Here is a 17,283-nt window from a genome sequence, read left to right as displayed (position 1 = left end):
CCAAACATGAAATGTCACCACCTCTATGTGGCTTTCTCTGACCTCTTATTTCTCTATTCCTGTAAATTTGTCTTCTGTGTGAGCCTAATTACCATTTACATAACATGTGTCACAGTGCATTGTTGCAATTTAAGGTTCTATCTTCTTAGATCTGCTTTCCACCCTTGACTTCAACTAATGCTGACAGCTCATTAAGGGCAAGGAGTACATTTTACTAATATTCATATCGTAGTTCTAAGCACAGTGGCCTAGCACACAGTGGGCTTTAAATAAAATGACTGAATTACATTTGACAAGTCTGTATAATAAACTACCCCAAGGCCAGGCGTAGTGGCTCACACCTGTAATTCCAGCATTTTGGGAGGCTGAGGCGGGCAGATCACCTGAGGTCAGGAGTTCAAGACCAGCCTGGCCAACGTGGTGAAACTCCATCTCTACTAAAACTACAAAAATTAGCCAGGCGTAGTGGCATGCGCCCGTAGTCCCAGCTACTCTAGAGGCTGAGTCACGAGAATCACTTGAACCTGGCAGGCAGAGGTTGCAATGAGCTGAGACAGCGCCACTGCATTCCAGCCTGAGTGACAGAGTGAAACTCTCTCTCAAATAAACAGACAAACACAAACTACCCCAAGAGGACCTTCAGTTGTGGATTTGGTTTACAATCTGACCATATTTGCTGATGACACTTATCGCCCCACCCCCGCATCTCTCCTAATAGACTGCAGGGCAATTTAGCATTTCCCTTTGATTATTTTGTATATCTTGGTCTTTTGTCCCAATTAGATAAGGAGATTATAGAGAACAAAGTCTAGTTTCTTTCATATTCTCACAAGGACAGAAGCCCCTCGTATATTCCAGATCAATGTTGCTGCACAGATGGCTTATTTTATGGGTATACACAATTTGGTTATAATTGTCAAAGTTTCTATATGAAAATGAGTTCAGATTCTATCTTTGATCTTTGATTTGACTTGACTTGACATCTTTGATCTGACATACTGCTAATTTTGTCTACCACACTTTTAAAAGTAGAAAGTGAGAATGACTTCTCCTGGGAAGATCAAGTAGATGTACTTTTCCTATTCTTCCCAGTAGTAAATCTAAACACCCTAGATGCTACATATGAAACAGAGGTAAAAAGACTCTAAAAGGGGCCAGGTGCAGTGGCTCACACCTAGAATCCCAGTACTTTGGGAGGACAAGGCAGGAGGACTGCTTAAGTCCAAGAGTTCAAGAACAGCCTGGGCAACATAGGAGACCTTATCTCTACAAAAAAAAAAAAAAAAAAAAGAAGAAGAAGAAGAAGAAGAAAAATAGCCAGGTGTGGTGGTGCACACCTATAGTGCAAGCTACTTAGGAGGCTCAGGTGGGAGGATCACTTCAGCTCAGGAGTTCAAGGCTGCAATGATTCATGATCGCACCTCTGTATTCCAGCTGGAACAATAGAGCAAGACCCTGACTAGAAAAAAAAAAAAAAGACACCAAAAGGTAAAGTGAAGATAGACCTACCAGGGACCTTGGGACTCAAGAAATGACGTGGTGGCAAATTCTGGGTTTTCTTTTTGCCTCATATATCCTAGACTTGGAGCTGAAGAAGCTGGAAACACCAAGGGGCACAAACAAGGAAAAAAAAAAAAAGTCCCAACAAACCCCTGCTCTCTCTTGCCAAGAGATCAGGGAAGGACGCTGCCTAGGAAAACAGAAAACTTTCAGACAACAGGCCAGGCGTGGTGGCTCATGCCTGTAATCTCAGCACTTTGGGAGGTCAACATGGGAGGACTGCTTGAGTTCAAGAGTTCAAGACCAGCCTGGGCAATATGGGGAGGCCTCGTCTCTACAAAAAATAAAAAAAAATTAACTGAGAATGGTGGCGCATGCCTGTGATCCCAGCTACTCAGGAGGATTACTCGAGCCCAGGAGGTCAAGGCTGCACTGAGCCACGATCGCACCACTGCACTCCCCTCTGGGCGACAGAGGGAGACCCTGTCTCAAAAATGAGTGAATAGATAGAAATAGATAATAGACAAATGTACATCTTAAGAACCTAGAAAAGTAAGAACAAAATGCACCTTAAAGCAAGCAGAAGGAAGAAAATAAAAATAGAAATGAATAAAAAAATGTAGAACAAAAAAATAGAGGAAAAAACGAAACAAAGAGCTAATTCTTTGGAAGAAAAAATTCAATAACATAAGCAAATCTAGCTAATGGGTAAGCATATGCTAGATAAGGTGTCCTTTAAACCTCTAGCAAGGCTGACAAAGAAAAAAGAGAAAAGACACAAATTACTATTATAAGAATGATAAAAAGATATCACTATAAACCCTGCAGACATCAAAAGAGTAGGGAGGCCAGGCATGGGGGCTCACTCCTGTAATCCTAGCACTTTGGGAGGCCAAGGTGGGCGGATCGCTTGAGCTCAGGAGTTACAGACCAGACTGGGCAACATGGCAAAACCCCATCTCTACAAAATAAAATAAAATTAAATTAAATTAAAATAAATTAGTTGGATGTGACGGCACATGCCTGTAGTCCCAGCTACTGGAGAGGCTGAGATGAGAGGATCACTTGAGCCTGGGAAGTTGAGGCTGCAGTGAGCTATGATCACACTACTACACTCTAGCCTGGGCGATAGAAAAATGCCGTCTCAAGAACAAAAGACAAAAAACAAAAAGAATAAGGGACTATACAAACACTGACAACTTGGACAAAATGGATAAATTTATCAGAAACAAACCACAAGTCACCCATATGAAATAGATAATTGGAACAGTCCTATAAAAACTTTTAGGTTAACTAAATTCATAACTGTAAATCTCCTAATAAAGAAATCTCCAGGCCCAGACCGTTTCACTGGTGAGTTCTACCAAATACTTAAGAAAAGTTAACACCAATTATACACAATATCTTCTAAAAAACAGAAGAGGATGCAATGCTTCCTAATTCATTTTATGAAGTATTACTCTGATGCCAAACCAAAGATAGCACAAAAAGAAAATTAGACTCATATTCCTCATGAATATAGACACAATAACCCATAACAAAACATTAGAAGATAGAATTAAGAGATACACTATATGACAAAGTAGGGCTCATGCAAGACTGTCTCAATACTTGAAAATCAATCATATTAATCATATAAAATCACCATATTAACAGGCTAAGGAAGAAAAATCATATAATCCTATCAATCAACACAGACAAAACATCTGACAAAAAGTTAATATTGAAAGTTAATGATAAAAAAATTTCAGAAAAATAGGAATACAACAGAACTTTCATAACTTGACAAAGATCATCTACCAAAAATTTACAGTTAACATTATACTTAATGATGAAACAACAGATACTTTTCCCTTAAAATGGGAAACAAGGCAAGGATGTCCACTCTCACTACTCTTATTCAACACAGTGCGGAAGTTGCAGCCAGTGAAATATAGCAAGAAAAGGAGATAAAAGGCATACAGATAGAAAAGGGAGAAATAAAACTCTCCGTATCTGCAGATAAATAAAACCTCCATATTTGAAGATGATTGTCCACATTAAAAAAATGACAATCTATCCAAAAATACTCCTAGAACTGAGTCCAGCAATGTCACAGAATACAAGATAAACATAAAATTAACTGTATGTCTAGATTCTAGTAATGAACACCAAAATTATATATAATCACTTTATTCTAAAATTTACATGGAAAGACAAATGAGTTAGAATATCTAAAAACAATTGTGAAAATAAAGGATAAAGTAGGAGGAATGAGTCTGCCCAATTTCAGACTTAAACAGCTACAGCTTAAGACAGTGGGACTGACAGAGGAACATACATATAGATCACATACAGCTCAATCTAACACAGTGGGGAACTTAGAAATAGACTCACACAAATACGCTCAACTGATTTTTAAGAAAGGTGCAAAAGCAATTCAATGAGAAAAGATAGGTGCCAGAACACCCGAACATACTATCCACCCCACAAAAAGGAACCTCAAGTTAAATCTCACACTTGACATAAAAATTCAAAATGCATCACAGACTTAAATGTAATATGTAGGCCAGGTGCTGTGGCTCACGCCTGTAACTCTAGCACTTCAGGAAGCCAAGGCCGAAGGACTGCTTGAGGTCAGAAGTTCGAGACCACCCTAAGCAATACGGAGACACCCCCACCTCTACAAAAAATTTTAAAAATTAGCCAGGCATGGCAGCATGGATGTGTAGTCCCATCTACTTGGGAGGCTGAGGCATAAGGATCACTTGAGCCCAGGACTTTGAGGTTACAGTGAACTGTGACTGTGCCACTGTACTTCAGCCTGGGTGACAGAATGAGACCCTGTCTCTAAATAAAAAATAAATGTAATATGTAAAACAATATTACTTTTATTTATTTTTTAAATAGGAGAGAGTCTTTGAGATCTAGGACTAGGCAAAGAGTTAATAAGACCTGAAACTAAAAGCATGATCCATAAAAAGCGGTAAATTAGACTTAATCAAAATGAAATATTTTGGTTCTATGAAAGACCCTATTAAGAAAATGAAAACTACATACTGGGAGAAAATATGTGTAAACTACATATCTGACAAAGATTGCCAGATTTGTGATCATCAGGGATCATGGAAGGGTGGGGGTGGGGTTAGTATGGCCATAAGATAGCAACATAAGGGATCCTTGGAATCCATGAAAATGTTCTATCTCTCTCTCTCTCTTTTTTTTTTTTTTAAAGAGATAGGGTCTCACTTTGCTGCCCAAGCTAAGTGTAGTGGCACGATCATAGCTCACTGCAACCTTGAACTCCTGGGCTCAAACAATACTCTTGCCGCAGACGCCTGAGCTGACAGGGGCACAACATCATGCCAAGGTAGCTTTTAAATTTCTTGTAGAGACCAGAACTTACCATATTGTCCAGGCTGGTCTAGCCTCAAGGGATCCTGTGGCCTCAGACTCCCAAAGCACTGGGATTAAAGGTTCCCTATCTTAACTGTCAGTATCATGGTTGTGATGTTGTAGCATAGTTTTGACAAAATGTTTCCATCAATGGAAACTTTGTAAAAGGTACAAAGAATCTCATTTCTTAGGATTGCATGTCAATCTACAATTATCTCAAAACTAAAAGTTTAATGAAGACTTTTTTTTTTTTTTTGAGACAGGGTCTCTGTTGCCCAGGCTGTAGTTCAGTGGCACAAAAAAACAGCTCACTGCAACCTTGACCACCCAGGCTCAAGAGATCCTCCCACCTCACCTTCCCAAGTAGCTAAGACCACAGACACATGCCACCAGGCCTAGCTAATTTTTTTTTTTTTTTTGTAGAGATAGGGTCTCTCTATGTTGCCCAGGCTAATCTCAAGATCTTTAGCTCAAGTGATCCTCCCACCTCAGTCTCCCAAAAGTGATGAAAAAAAATTTTTTAATCAATAGTGAGGCTGGTTGAGGTGCCTCACGCCTGTAATCCCAGCACTTTGGGAGGCTGAGGCGGCTAGATTGCTTGAAGCCAGGAGTTCGAGACCAGCCTGGGCAACGTGGCGCAACCCCACCTCTACAAGAAATAAAGTAGCCAGGCGTGGTGGTGCATGTCTATAGTCCCAGCTACTGCAGAGGCTGAGGTAGGAAAATCACTTGAGCCCGGCAGACAGAGGCTGCAGTGAGCCGAGATCACGCCACTGTACTCAAGCCTGGGCAACAGAGTGAGACCTTGTCTCTAAATAAATAAACTGTGAAAAGCACAATCATGACCAATTACCACAGATTTCTTAAGTGTGAAATACCTAAGCCTCAACCACATTAACTAAATATTAAATTAAAATACTAATTTTAACTTTCTACTGTAAATATGTCTTAAAAGAGTCATATTTCCAGAGCTACTGGTATTAATAAAAGTCACATGATTACAACTGCAAGCTAAATATACAATGACGAATTATTACTAAAATTTTGAGGTCTAATTTAGGTATTTATGCTGCCCTGACAAAAAGCCTGAATTTTCTTAATCAAGAGAGTTGTTAAACCAATGAATAACGTGCACCTTCTACTTGCAAACACTATTCTGAAAAGTTTCGTATCTATATTCTTCATCTCTAACACTGAGGCTACATATGAGTCTAGAAGGGAAACAACAGAAGTTCACTCAGCTACTGGGATAAATCCAAGTGAGATGACTCCATATCAATCTAACTCACTGATAAAAAATACCTATTTAAGATAAACCACTTGTTTCTCATCTCTTCCATAAGTTTTCAACTTCCTCAAAAATTACTCTTAGAGCAAAAAGAAACGTTCAGACAGACCTTATTCAAAAAGTTCTCCCAGCTATAGTACACGCAATTTGGTCTCACATTACCAATTTTCTCGTTTAAAATATGTAAAATTTGCTCCCATATATATTTCTTTAAGTTTATATTCTTACAAAGGATTTGTTCATGGCACGTTTCACTTCATCAGAACCATCTGAATAGATCTGCTGAAATAATCTGTTTAAAGCTGCATCTCCCTCCAACTTTTCATTCTTTTCTTCTTCTTTGATCTCACCAACCAATTTATCCCAATTTCTTGTATAAGGAGATGATGATGGATATAGGTTCTTTACATCTATGAAGTAAAAAAAGGCAGAAGTAATTAATCAACATGTTTCAATTATGTCGAGAATATGTAAACTTTGTGACCATGTATATGGAACATCTTAGCAAACAGTTTAGGTTACTGAATTTCAGGTATGCAATAAGTGTCTTTCTGGTATATAGGTCAATAACAAAATTCACATTTCTAAAAACTGAGTCAGTTACCATAATGTAAAATCTGGGGATTTCTTTTGAGCAAAATAACTCAATAAAGTGTAAACTTTTGATATGCTATACAAAATTAGATTAAAAGCAGATTCTTCATGTTGATAACAGAAACTAGATGAAAAGTATACAGAACTTTTATGTTTTCAGAAAAGTTGCAGAGACAGTACGAACAATTCTAAAAATGAAATTTTTTAAAGGATGCCTAAGAAATCTTTTGTAACTAAGATTTTAATAAATGTTAAAAATGTGACTTTTTCTAAAGTACTTAGTATCTTTCAGAGTATAAATAGCCTGAAAATATAAATAATCATCCATGCCACTCCATACTCTCCCATCAAAAAAGTAAGATTATTTTAATAGGCAATAACAGTAAGTAATTTCTAAATGTTTAAAGTACTACACTTGATGATCTAAAGTTCAATGCCCACATCCCATACACCTAGCAAATAATAGTATTTGTAGGGCACACTGGAGTAAACAGAGCTGCTTGCAGCGAGAGAGGCTACTGGCCCAGGGGCTCGGGGTACTGCCAAGATTGCTCCAAAGACCAAAGGCATCAAGATCTTGGCACACAAATAATTAGAAAATAACTAGACAACCTAGTAGCTATAGGAGCAGCTCTGTTGACTATCCAATGAAAATATAATGACAGCCTCAAATGTGAGTCACATATATAATTTAAAACTTCCTAGTAACTACATTACTAAAAAGAATCAGGTGAAATGCAGTTTAATAATACATTTTATTTAACCTGATATATCAAATATAGTATCATATTGACTTGAAACCAACAGAGGCCGGGCATGGGGGCTCACACCTATAATCCCAGCACTTTGGGAGGCCAAGTAGGAGGATTGCTTGAGGCCAGAAGTGTGAGACCAGCCTGGGCAACATAGTGAGAGCCCATCTCTATGAAAAAAAAATAATAATAATTAGCTGGGCGTGGTGGCACATGCCTGCAGTACCAGCTACTCGGAAGGTTGGGGTAGAGGACTGCTTGAGTCCAGGAGGTTGAGGCTACACTGAGCCATGACAGTGCCACTGCATTCCAGCCTGGGTGACACAGCAAGACTCTCTCTTAAAAAAAAAAAAAAACCAACAAAAAAAATGAAGATATTTTATATTCTTTTTTTCATACTAACTCTTCAAACTGTAGCATATATTTCACATAGCACATCATCTCAATGCAGACTAGTCATATTTCAAGTGCTCAACAGGTAACATGTGGCTAGCAGCTACTGTGTTGGACAAAAGAGCTACAGTTTTCAAAAAACCCAATTCAAAATTTCCCCATCAGTATGTATTAGGACACATTAGTACTAATCTAAATGTTCCTCCCAATACTGCTCTCTACATCCCTTTTGTCAAAATAGCTGAGAAACTAACATCCACTGTTTTTCTACGCTTTCTCTTCACTTGTAAACCGACTTTCTCCCTGCCCATTCCTCCTCAAAACAAAACAACACACACAACACCAACACATAGTTTTTTTTCAGGGCCAAATATATTGTTTTGAAAATCCTATCCACCTTCCTTCTACTAGATATCCTTCTATCTTTGTACATTTTCACTAGTAGCCAGGTAAAACAAAAAATGCGTGCCATGGTAAGTTAAGAGCCTGGGAAATATGGATTTAATTAATCCTAATGCTGACTCCCAGGAAGGATGAGAACAGAGGTTTTAATCTCTATTTTGTAGATAAGCAAGCTGGGTCAGATAGGTTAAGTGACTTGCCCTTATCTACAGTCTCCAGCTTGCAATACACAGGAATCTGACAAGTATATTAATTTCTTACAAAAACAGGACAGGAAGAGTATCATCTTGAATATCTAAGGTGTTGAGTTTAGAAAAAACATGGTAACTGTAACACTAAAAAGCCTTGATCTTTAATCTCAGAAAAACTTTTAACACCTGGAGATGGCAGATGAACTACTGAGAGATGAGTAATCTAACCTCCCTGCTCATTCACTATAATATCAAATAACTACTAGATACTCATGTCGGCAAAGACTGTTTCCATTGTTAGAAAATGCAACAACAAGCAGTATGCAACAAGTAGACAACGGGTTAACAGAATAACTGGACCCAACTGAGAAGACCTAGATTTTAGTCCTAGACAATGAGAACTGAGGGATAATCTTGAGCTTAACTTTTCTGAGCCTGCAAAATGGGAGGAATACTAAGGGGCTGCCTGTTATGCAGGGCTGTTAGAATTAAGTAAGATACTACATTTAAAGTGATTATATATTTTTTAAAGCTTTCAGCTACATATAAACCTCAGCCTCAAAATCTATTGGAGTCAGTCCTAAAAGAAACACATACATCTTTCAAATAAAGTGTGAAGCAGATGCTTAAATACCTTAAATACCAACTAGATATACTTCAGTCCTTAAAAAGTATCTGTTGGTGTTAATACCCTGATTTTGAAAATTATACCACAGACTACTTAAGAGGTAATCATTGGACTAGTTAAGACACTATCAATGGGGGAAACTGGGTGAAAGCTATATGAGAATCTCTTATTTTTGAAATTTCTAAACATCCAAAATTATTTCTTAAGAAATAACTATACACACACACACAAACACACACACAAATGATCTGTTGAATAACTCAGTGTTTTCTAAAAGGTGCCACAAGGAAATGTGTTTTCTGTTACAGAAGAAAGCAGTCAAAATCAGAAAAAGCTGAGACACATGTTAGCTTGTTTCAGTCATTAAATCAGACCATTACTTCCAATAAAAAGAAATTTCCCTCCACTCATTAATGAAGCTATTGCTATAAAATATAATCTTAGGTTGTAGTTCTGAGTGTGCTGTGAATTTGTCCACTAGAAAAATTCTTACCTAGTTATTGCACATACTTAAAATTGACCTCAACACAAAGTTCTGTTTCTTACAGGGTTATATATACAATGAAGCCTGGTTTTCTACTCTTCTCCTAGACTTTCCTTTGGCATTTACCACCTATTTGCGTCCATCTCTAAATTAGCAATAAGAAATGGGGTAGATACCTTACCCTGTAAAGCCCTGCAAATTCCAGGCAATTAGATGACAGTATCAGTAGAAGGAACAGAAAGGAATTAAGAAAGGGAGAGGGAAGAAGGGGAAATATATCCGCCGAGTAAACCAACTTACAACCCAAAAAGAAACAACAGGAAGGGCCAACACGCAAAACTAAACACCCTCCAACTGATGTCATAAACTTTACATGGTAAACAATAAATCCCAACTCCCTCTAGGATTTTGCTGCCATTCATTTGTATTCTTAGAATTTGAGAAGTCAGAACTTTCACAGAAAGGCTACTTTATATTCATTACGGAGCAACCTTATTATACTCAATGTATCTTATCTTGAGAACATAAATAATGAAAGTAAAAAGAATGTTCATTACTATTTAATTTCAATTACACAACACAATATGAATATAAAGCTCATCAAGGCCAGAAAACAAACCTGCTACGAATTGTTTTGGCGTAGGCACATCTCCTTGCCCCTCTAGCTTTTCCCATCTCACAGCCTCTGGCTTTTTCAGTTTAATTTCAATCTGGAGGAAACACCAAATAAACTCCATTACTCGACGTAAAATACACAAAACAGTAAAAAATGCAGTTTTCTTAAGTCATCAAAGTTTTGTTAAGAATAGTATCTTTGACAGTTTCCTTAAATTATACAAGGTTAAATTTGAAAAACTATGAAACAATTTTGTTTCTACACTCAAAATTCACCCTTGAAAAAAAACAACATACACACTATATATAAGCTATAATCAAGAAGAGACTTGAAATACATATGCTTTTTTTCATCCAAAGCAATGTTCTGAACCAGGGATGATTCTGCCACCCAGGGGACATTTAGCCATGTCTGGAGACATTGTGGGTTGTCATACTGCAGTGAGGGAAGAGGTGATAATGACATCTATTGAGTAGAGACCACGGTTGCTACTAAACATCCTACAATGTACTGGGCAATTCCCCAAAATGTCAATAATGCCATTACAGAGAAATCTGATTCTAAAAGAATTACTGCATTTACATGTGCATTAACCTGTTTTACAGTGGAGAAACTTATTTCACTGTATAAACACAATACAACTCATGTTAACATTCAGGCAATCTTTCATTCAACAAATAATTACTAAGCACCTACTATGAGACAGTACAGTCTTCAAGGCTGTGGGAGATTTTTGTTTTATTTTTAGAGACAGGGTCTTGCTCTGTCTCCCAGGCTGGAGTGCAGTAGAAGGATCATAGCTCACTCTAGACTTGAACTCCTGGGCTCAAGTGATCCTCCAGCCTCAGCTTCCCAAGTAGCTGGGACTACAGACAAGTGCCACCACTCCTGGCTAATGTTTTTAAAATTTTTCGTAGAGACAGAGTCTCACTAGGTTGCCCAGGCTGGTCTCAGACTCCTGGCCTCAAGCCATTCTCCCACCTCAGCCTCCCAAAGTGCTAGGATTACAGGCATGAGCCACCAAGCCCAGGTGGATTTTTAAAATATTAAAGACACATCCTCGACCATTTGGAAGTATGTGAGATACTTTAAGAAAGTTACTGAAGTTCTAAATAAGTAAATGTTCTAAAAGCTCAGGAGAGAGCACACCTGACTGTGAAGGGGAAACGCTTTATACATCTTGAAGGGCTCTGAAGGGTAGAAGCATTTGCAAGAGTGAAGGGGTAGGTCTCCAGAGCATAGGGAATGGCCTAACTGGAGCATGGGTATGAAAGGACACTGCATCGGGGAGTACTGAGAAGACTAAGTTCACTTACTTACCGAGAAGACTAAGTTCACTTATTAAAATGAAAAGTTAATAGTATCCTAATAGCATCTTTTACTATCTAATTAAGGCTAGGCCTCTGAGTCTATCCTTGCCCCCAACACACACAATCACATAGCATTTTATCTACCTTTTGTTTTCTTTATTCAAATAATGCTCTCACCTCTATTTTAACAGGCTAATATCAGCATTTTTAGTGCAAATATTAAAGTAAGCACTATAATAAACATTATATAAAACAGTTTAAATGAGCAATTGAATTAGAATTTTATATTCTCATGTTTTTTTCCTATGAAAAGGATCACTACTTTTGTAAATGGGATTAAAAAATCAAAAGGCAGACTTAAAAAAAGAAGTCTATTCACCCTTTGGTTCTTTTATCTTTTATCAGATGACTCATTAAACTAGCAATTCCAGGCCATCTTTATACCAAATGCATTTAGCAAAAGGACCTTCAAAATTTGCACCTTAAAATACCTTAACAAGCGCTAACACAGGGAAAAACTGCCAATATTTTTAATCAGAGATAAAATGATGGTATATGTATGTGGGGTATCTGGTCTCAAGCGTTTATTTTTATTTTCTTTTGGAGCAAAGAAATGTAATAAACGACTGTTTTCATAATAAGAGAAAAATATGAAGCAAACGTCACTGGGATAAGGGCAAAGAGTAGTAACCCCAGCACCTTAGGAGGCCGAGGCAGGCAGATCACCTGAGGTCAGGAGTTCAAGACCAGCCCGGCCAACATGGCAAAACCCTGTCTCTACTAAAAATACAAAAAATAGCCAGGCATAGTGGCATGTGACTGTAGTCTCAGCTACTCGGGAGTCTGAGACAGAATTGCTTGAATCTGGGAGGCGGAGGCTGCAGTGAGCCAAGATCGTGCCACTGCACTTCAGCCTGGGCAACAGAGCGAGACTCTGTCAAAAAAAAAAAAAAAAAAAAAGTATACTATCTTTGGTGTAATTTACATGTTTAAACTCTACATATATAAAAACATATTTCATAAGAATCTCTAGAATTCCCTAAAGTTAACTACAATTAATTTTTTATAAAGTAATATACCACCAATATCTTCTATATTCTGGTTACTTTAAGTTGTCACTGCTACGATATTTATCAAAAGGGACATAAATCAAATAGATGGCAATGACACAGCAATAGTTACTGAAAAGAACTGTTAATATTATCTGAAAAATTAAAATTGCATCTTCTTTAATTTTCAACTCATCTAAAAAATGAGGGCCTGGAAAGTACTGTGTACATCACCACATTAAACTTGGCCACAGGCCACCCTATATTCACACTTCATGTTCCTGTAACTATGAACATACTGTCTATAAAAAGTTCCTTGTTTCACCTGAAGAGCAGCACAGAGTAGCATTCGCATCTACTGAAAGCCACTATAACCTGAGTAACTGTGCAGTATGAACAAAGAGGACTTTATAAAGCAAAAGGCAAAGCTCTTAGTAACAACCTGCTTCAGCTGAGACAAGCTGACCTCAACTTGAAATTATACTTAATCCATTCATTAAAATAGCTGCATGTAATAAACCACTTAAAGTAGCTTTTTTAAAAAGGTAAAAGGGGCCAGGTGTGTTGGCTCACACGTGTAATCCTGGCACTCTGGGAGGCTGAAGTGGGAGGATCACATGAGCCCAAGAGGTTGAGGCCACAGTGGGCCATGATCACTCCACTGCACTCCAGCATGGGCAACAGAGTGAGACCCTATCTACCCCCACACAAAAAAAAAAAAAGTAAAAGAAGGGAGGGACTAATGTCCTATGAAATCCTTTTTACATTTAATTCACTTTCAATGTTTGTACATGCTTTTAAAAATGAAGTTTTAAGTCTTCATGATTCGGGCAGATAGTTCTAGAATTAGCACCAGTCCAATTTCAGAGGTTTTTACTGCAACCATTAACATACCATTCTATTTTCATTTAAGTCAAAAAAACTTTAAAAGTAACTTAAAACTTTGGTAGTTTGCTTGAATGTTGCTCTCATATGTACAGGGAAGGCTCTCAAGTTGCTAATATCCCAAAAGAGTATTCACAGATTACACTAAGAATCCCTAATGTGCTGGATCATTAGCTCTCAACAGCATAGGTACTACCATCCACTTCTGAAGTCTCCTCTGCATAGCAGAGAGTTTAATTCTTTCCAATGAAAGAAATTTCAGATTTAAAGAGATGGCATTACGCTTAAGCAATCATGATATCCAGACACCACCATCTTAAGTGGTAAGTAAGATCCCACCTACTATTACAGACTGACATGAAGGGATCTTTCCCAGAGACTAAAGAGCTGGGGCAATTTATTGGCAAACTTTTAAGAACCATACACTTCAAGACTGTACTCATTAAATAATTGTTCCCCTAATCTTCAGAATACAGCCTTCCCAACATACTCTTACTAAGCTCTTTTCACATTTAATTGCTACATCAAATTCCTTTGTCTGAAAATAGCTGCCTTCGAGCCCAGACTAATACATCTACCTTGATTTTACACTAAAATATTTCTATAATCATTTTTTAAATGCAAAAAAATGGCAATGAATGGAGAAGATTGAAGGTCTTCTCCAAACTTCTAACAGCTCATTTCAAATATTTGCTGAGTACCTACTCTGTGCCAGAAACAGTGCTGGTACATAAGGACACAGCCTCTGTTCTTCTTAAAGTAATTAATCAGGAGAGACATTCCCATAAACAAAAAGATTCCAGTATGTGTCAGGTGTAGTGACTGACCTATGTATCAGGAAATATCAGGTTATCTGAAAGGAAACATGCTAGAATGTCATCTGAGTGGTGAGTCTGAGTGATTACTTCCTAAACTCCTTTATCTTTTCCAGATTTTCTATGATAACGCATTTGCTGAGTTTACAGCCCGAATAAAAATCGAAATAACTAAAATAAAACAGTAAGAAAGGTACTGTAACATTTATTGAGCTCTTATTACATATCCTGCATGCTACATGCTTCACATATATCATCTTACTTAACGGAATCACCCTATTAAAAAAGATTGTTATCCATATTTTAGAGATGTGGGAGCCAAGATATGAAATAATTTGCTGTAAGCGCATTTTTCAGCTAGAATTTTAACTTATTTCCTAAGAAATAACCAGGGGTTGAGAATAACACAAAAACAATCAGTTGTATAGTTAGAAGAGTCACAAATAGGTGCCATTGGTTAGATATATGACCATAAGCAAGCAACTCAATCTCAGCGAGCCTCAGTTTCTCCTATAAAATGAGAACAGTAGGCCCTGACTCATTTAGGGTTCTCAAGAAGATTAAATGACACTATGTATGAAAAGAATAAAGAACCACGTCTGGCAAATAACAACAGAATGCTATTATCAATATCCTCAGCTAAAAAACCTGGGCAAATTATTGAACATCTCTGGGTTAAGTTTCTCTACCTGTAAACTAGGGATAAAAATACCTACACCATGCAGTAACTATGAGAATTACATGAGATAATTCATAGTACAGTGCCTGGAATGTGATAAAACAGTCAAAACACCTATTCTTATTCTCCACAGGTCAAACAAAATGGGACTGGCTAAATAAGCTACAGTACATGCATATGCCGAAATACTTTGCTGTTGAATATGTAAGGATGTGATAAAAATATCAACAAAATGTAGCTGTTTAAAAATTATGTAAAATTCTTTTAAAAATATATAAATATACATTACAAAATATATGAAAAGATAAGAATACATTCCAAGATCTACAATTTGTGATCTTTTTTTAAACTAATTCAGTTAAAAAAGAAATCTCACTATTATCACCACCACTGTACTAAAAAAGCAAAAGAAAACAATAATTTTAAAAACTCTCATATCTATGTATTCAGACAAGCAGAAGGAAGCATCATGCCCAGATACCCCATTCCATTATATTATCACCAGGATTTTTATTTAACATACATATATTCTTCTATGAACATTAAGCAATAGGATACGCTCTAAAACTTCTCAAAGTGGGAGAAGAGAAAAGGAGGCTATTTTGTTTCTAAGACAGACATTTTTATTTCTCACAATTCCAGGCCTTCGTATTTTATATTGTATAATCAGCAAAATTACTATGACTTAACTATGACTTAAGAATACAAGAACATTTCCACAAGGGCAAATTCACCCCAAAAGACTGAGAATTCTAATTCTTTTTTTTCTTTTGGAGACGGAGTCTCACTCAGTCACCCAGGCGGGAGTGCAGTGGCGCGACATGATCTCGGCTCACTGCAACCTCCGCCTCCCAGGTTCAAGCGATTCTCCTGCCTCAGTCTCCCGAGTAGCTGGGACTACAGGCACCCGTCACCACGTCCAGTTCATTTTTTGTATTTTTAGTAGAGACAGGTTTTCACCAAGTTGACCAGGCTGTTCTCGAACTCTTGACCTCAAGTGATCCGACCGCCTTGGCCTACCAAAGTGTTGGGATTACAGGCATGACCCACCGTGCCCGACTTGTGAATTCTAAATCTTAAAGGGAATGAAAATTAATTTTTAAAATGAGTATTTCACAATATGGGTGCCACTAAAGTCACAATTCTGAGACTGTGACCAGAGAATAGTGTCATGAAATCAACAAGATGAAAGACATATAGTTTCTTAATTTCTAAAAAATTAATAGGCTGACATTAAAGCTGATATTCAGTAAAAAGTAGCAATAACTATCAGAGATACTGAAAAAATATGAATCCTGGCTTGGAAAAACATATTGGATACTACACTGTAAAATAGTTAAGAAATGCTACTTCATTAATTTCAGGGTTTTACCTCTTACTACTTTCATCACAAATTACATATCACTCAAATAAATAATATTTAACCACTGGCTATACATGGATATGCAACATTCATTCAATCTTGAAGGTGGGAAAGAAAAGAGAATTCCCAAAAGCAAAGAAATCGCCCTTTTAAGCTGCAAATTTTACAGAATCTCTACTATTAAGCAGATTCTCCTCTGCAAAATGCGTCCTTTCTCAATTCACAAAGGTCCAAGATATCTCAACAATCAAGATATCTGAATACATGAAAAGCAAATTATTTTAGTACTGTTGTCTCTTAAGTGTCCACGAAGTAAGCCTCAGTAACCCAGATATTTTATTTTCAGTATTTTAATATTGTCTCCCTCTACTGTATGAAAAAGGAAATTCAAAGATTTTATCATTTATTTCCCTTAAGACATAATTAAGAAAACTTCTTTCAATTTGCTTCCCCCCAAATAGTTTAAGAGTTAGTAATCTAACAAGATTTTGTGTGTGCACATATATATATATATGGTATATAAAATACAGAGATTCCAGGGTCAGGACAAGAAAAATAATAATTCTTTAGGACACATCCTTAGAATCTAAGTTCTCCAATTCAAAACTTAGAAAAACCTAAGCAAAGATGCACTAGTTTGGTTGGCAATCAGAAGTGTATCTACGTCTCCTAGGCCAGGCTGAAGAATTTAGTTAACTAGGTAAACTTGGGGAAAGTATTTAAACTCCATTAACATGATTGTTTTTCCACCTGCAAAACTAAGAATAAACATTCTCTGCCAATGTCATGGGACTAAAACCAAAATCCAATTTTAATTCATTCACTGAACTAAGCACCCACTGTGCAATGTATGTGGTGAGGGCTGCCAAGTTTAGCAAATAAAATTATAGCATGAAACATATTTACATAATAAAAATTATTCATTGTTTATCTTAAATAGAAACTTAAATGAACATCTT

At 37.0% G+C, this 17,283-nt stretch overlaps 1 protein-coding gene across 6 annotated transcripts in view; it reads right to left on the bottom strand.

Annotated features, from left to right (window-relative positions):
- Positions 1-17,283, bottom strand: part of SUGT1 (SGT1 assembly cochaperone of MIS12 kinetochore complex) — a 48,074-nt gene that overhangs the window by 14,363 nt on the left and 16,428 nt on the right. For all 6 annotated transcript variants that reach the window (NM_001320831.2, NM_001130912.3, XM_017020365.2 and 3 more), the window contains 2 exons: positions 10,227-10,317; positions 6,392-6,573 (listed from right to left, as the gene is read on the bottom strand). In NM_001320831.2, the coding sequence (NP_001307760.1) occupies positions 6,392-6,573; positions 10,227-10,317 (273 nt within the window). The remainder of the gene's footprint in view (positions 1-6,391; positions 6,574-10,226; positions 10,318-17,283) is intronic.

The sequence above is a fragment of the Homo sapiens genome, chromosome 13 (assembly GCF_000001405.40).
Source record: "Homo sapiens chromosome 13, GRCh38.p14 Primary Assembly".
NCBI lineage: Eukaryota > Metazoa > Chordata > Mammalia > Primates > Hominidae > Homo > Homo sapiens.
This window is presented reverse-complemented; position numbering and strand designations above follow the sequence as displayed.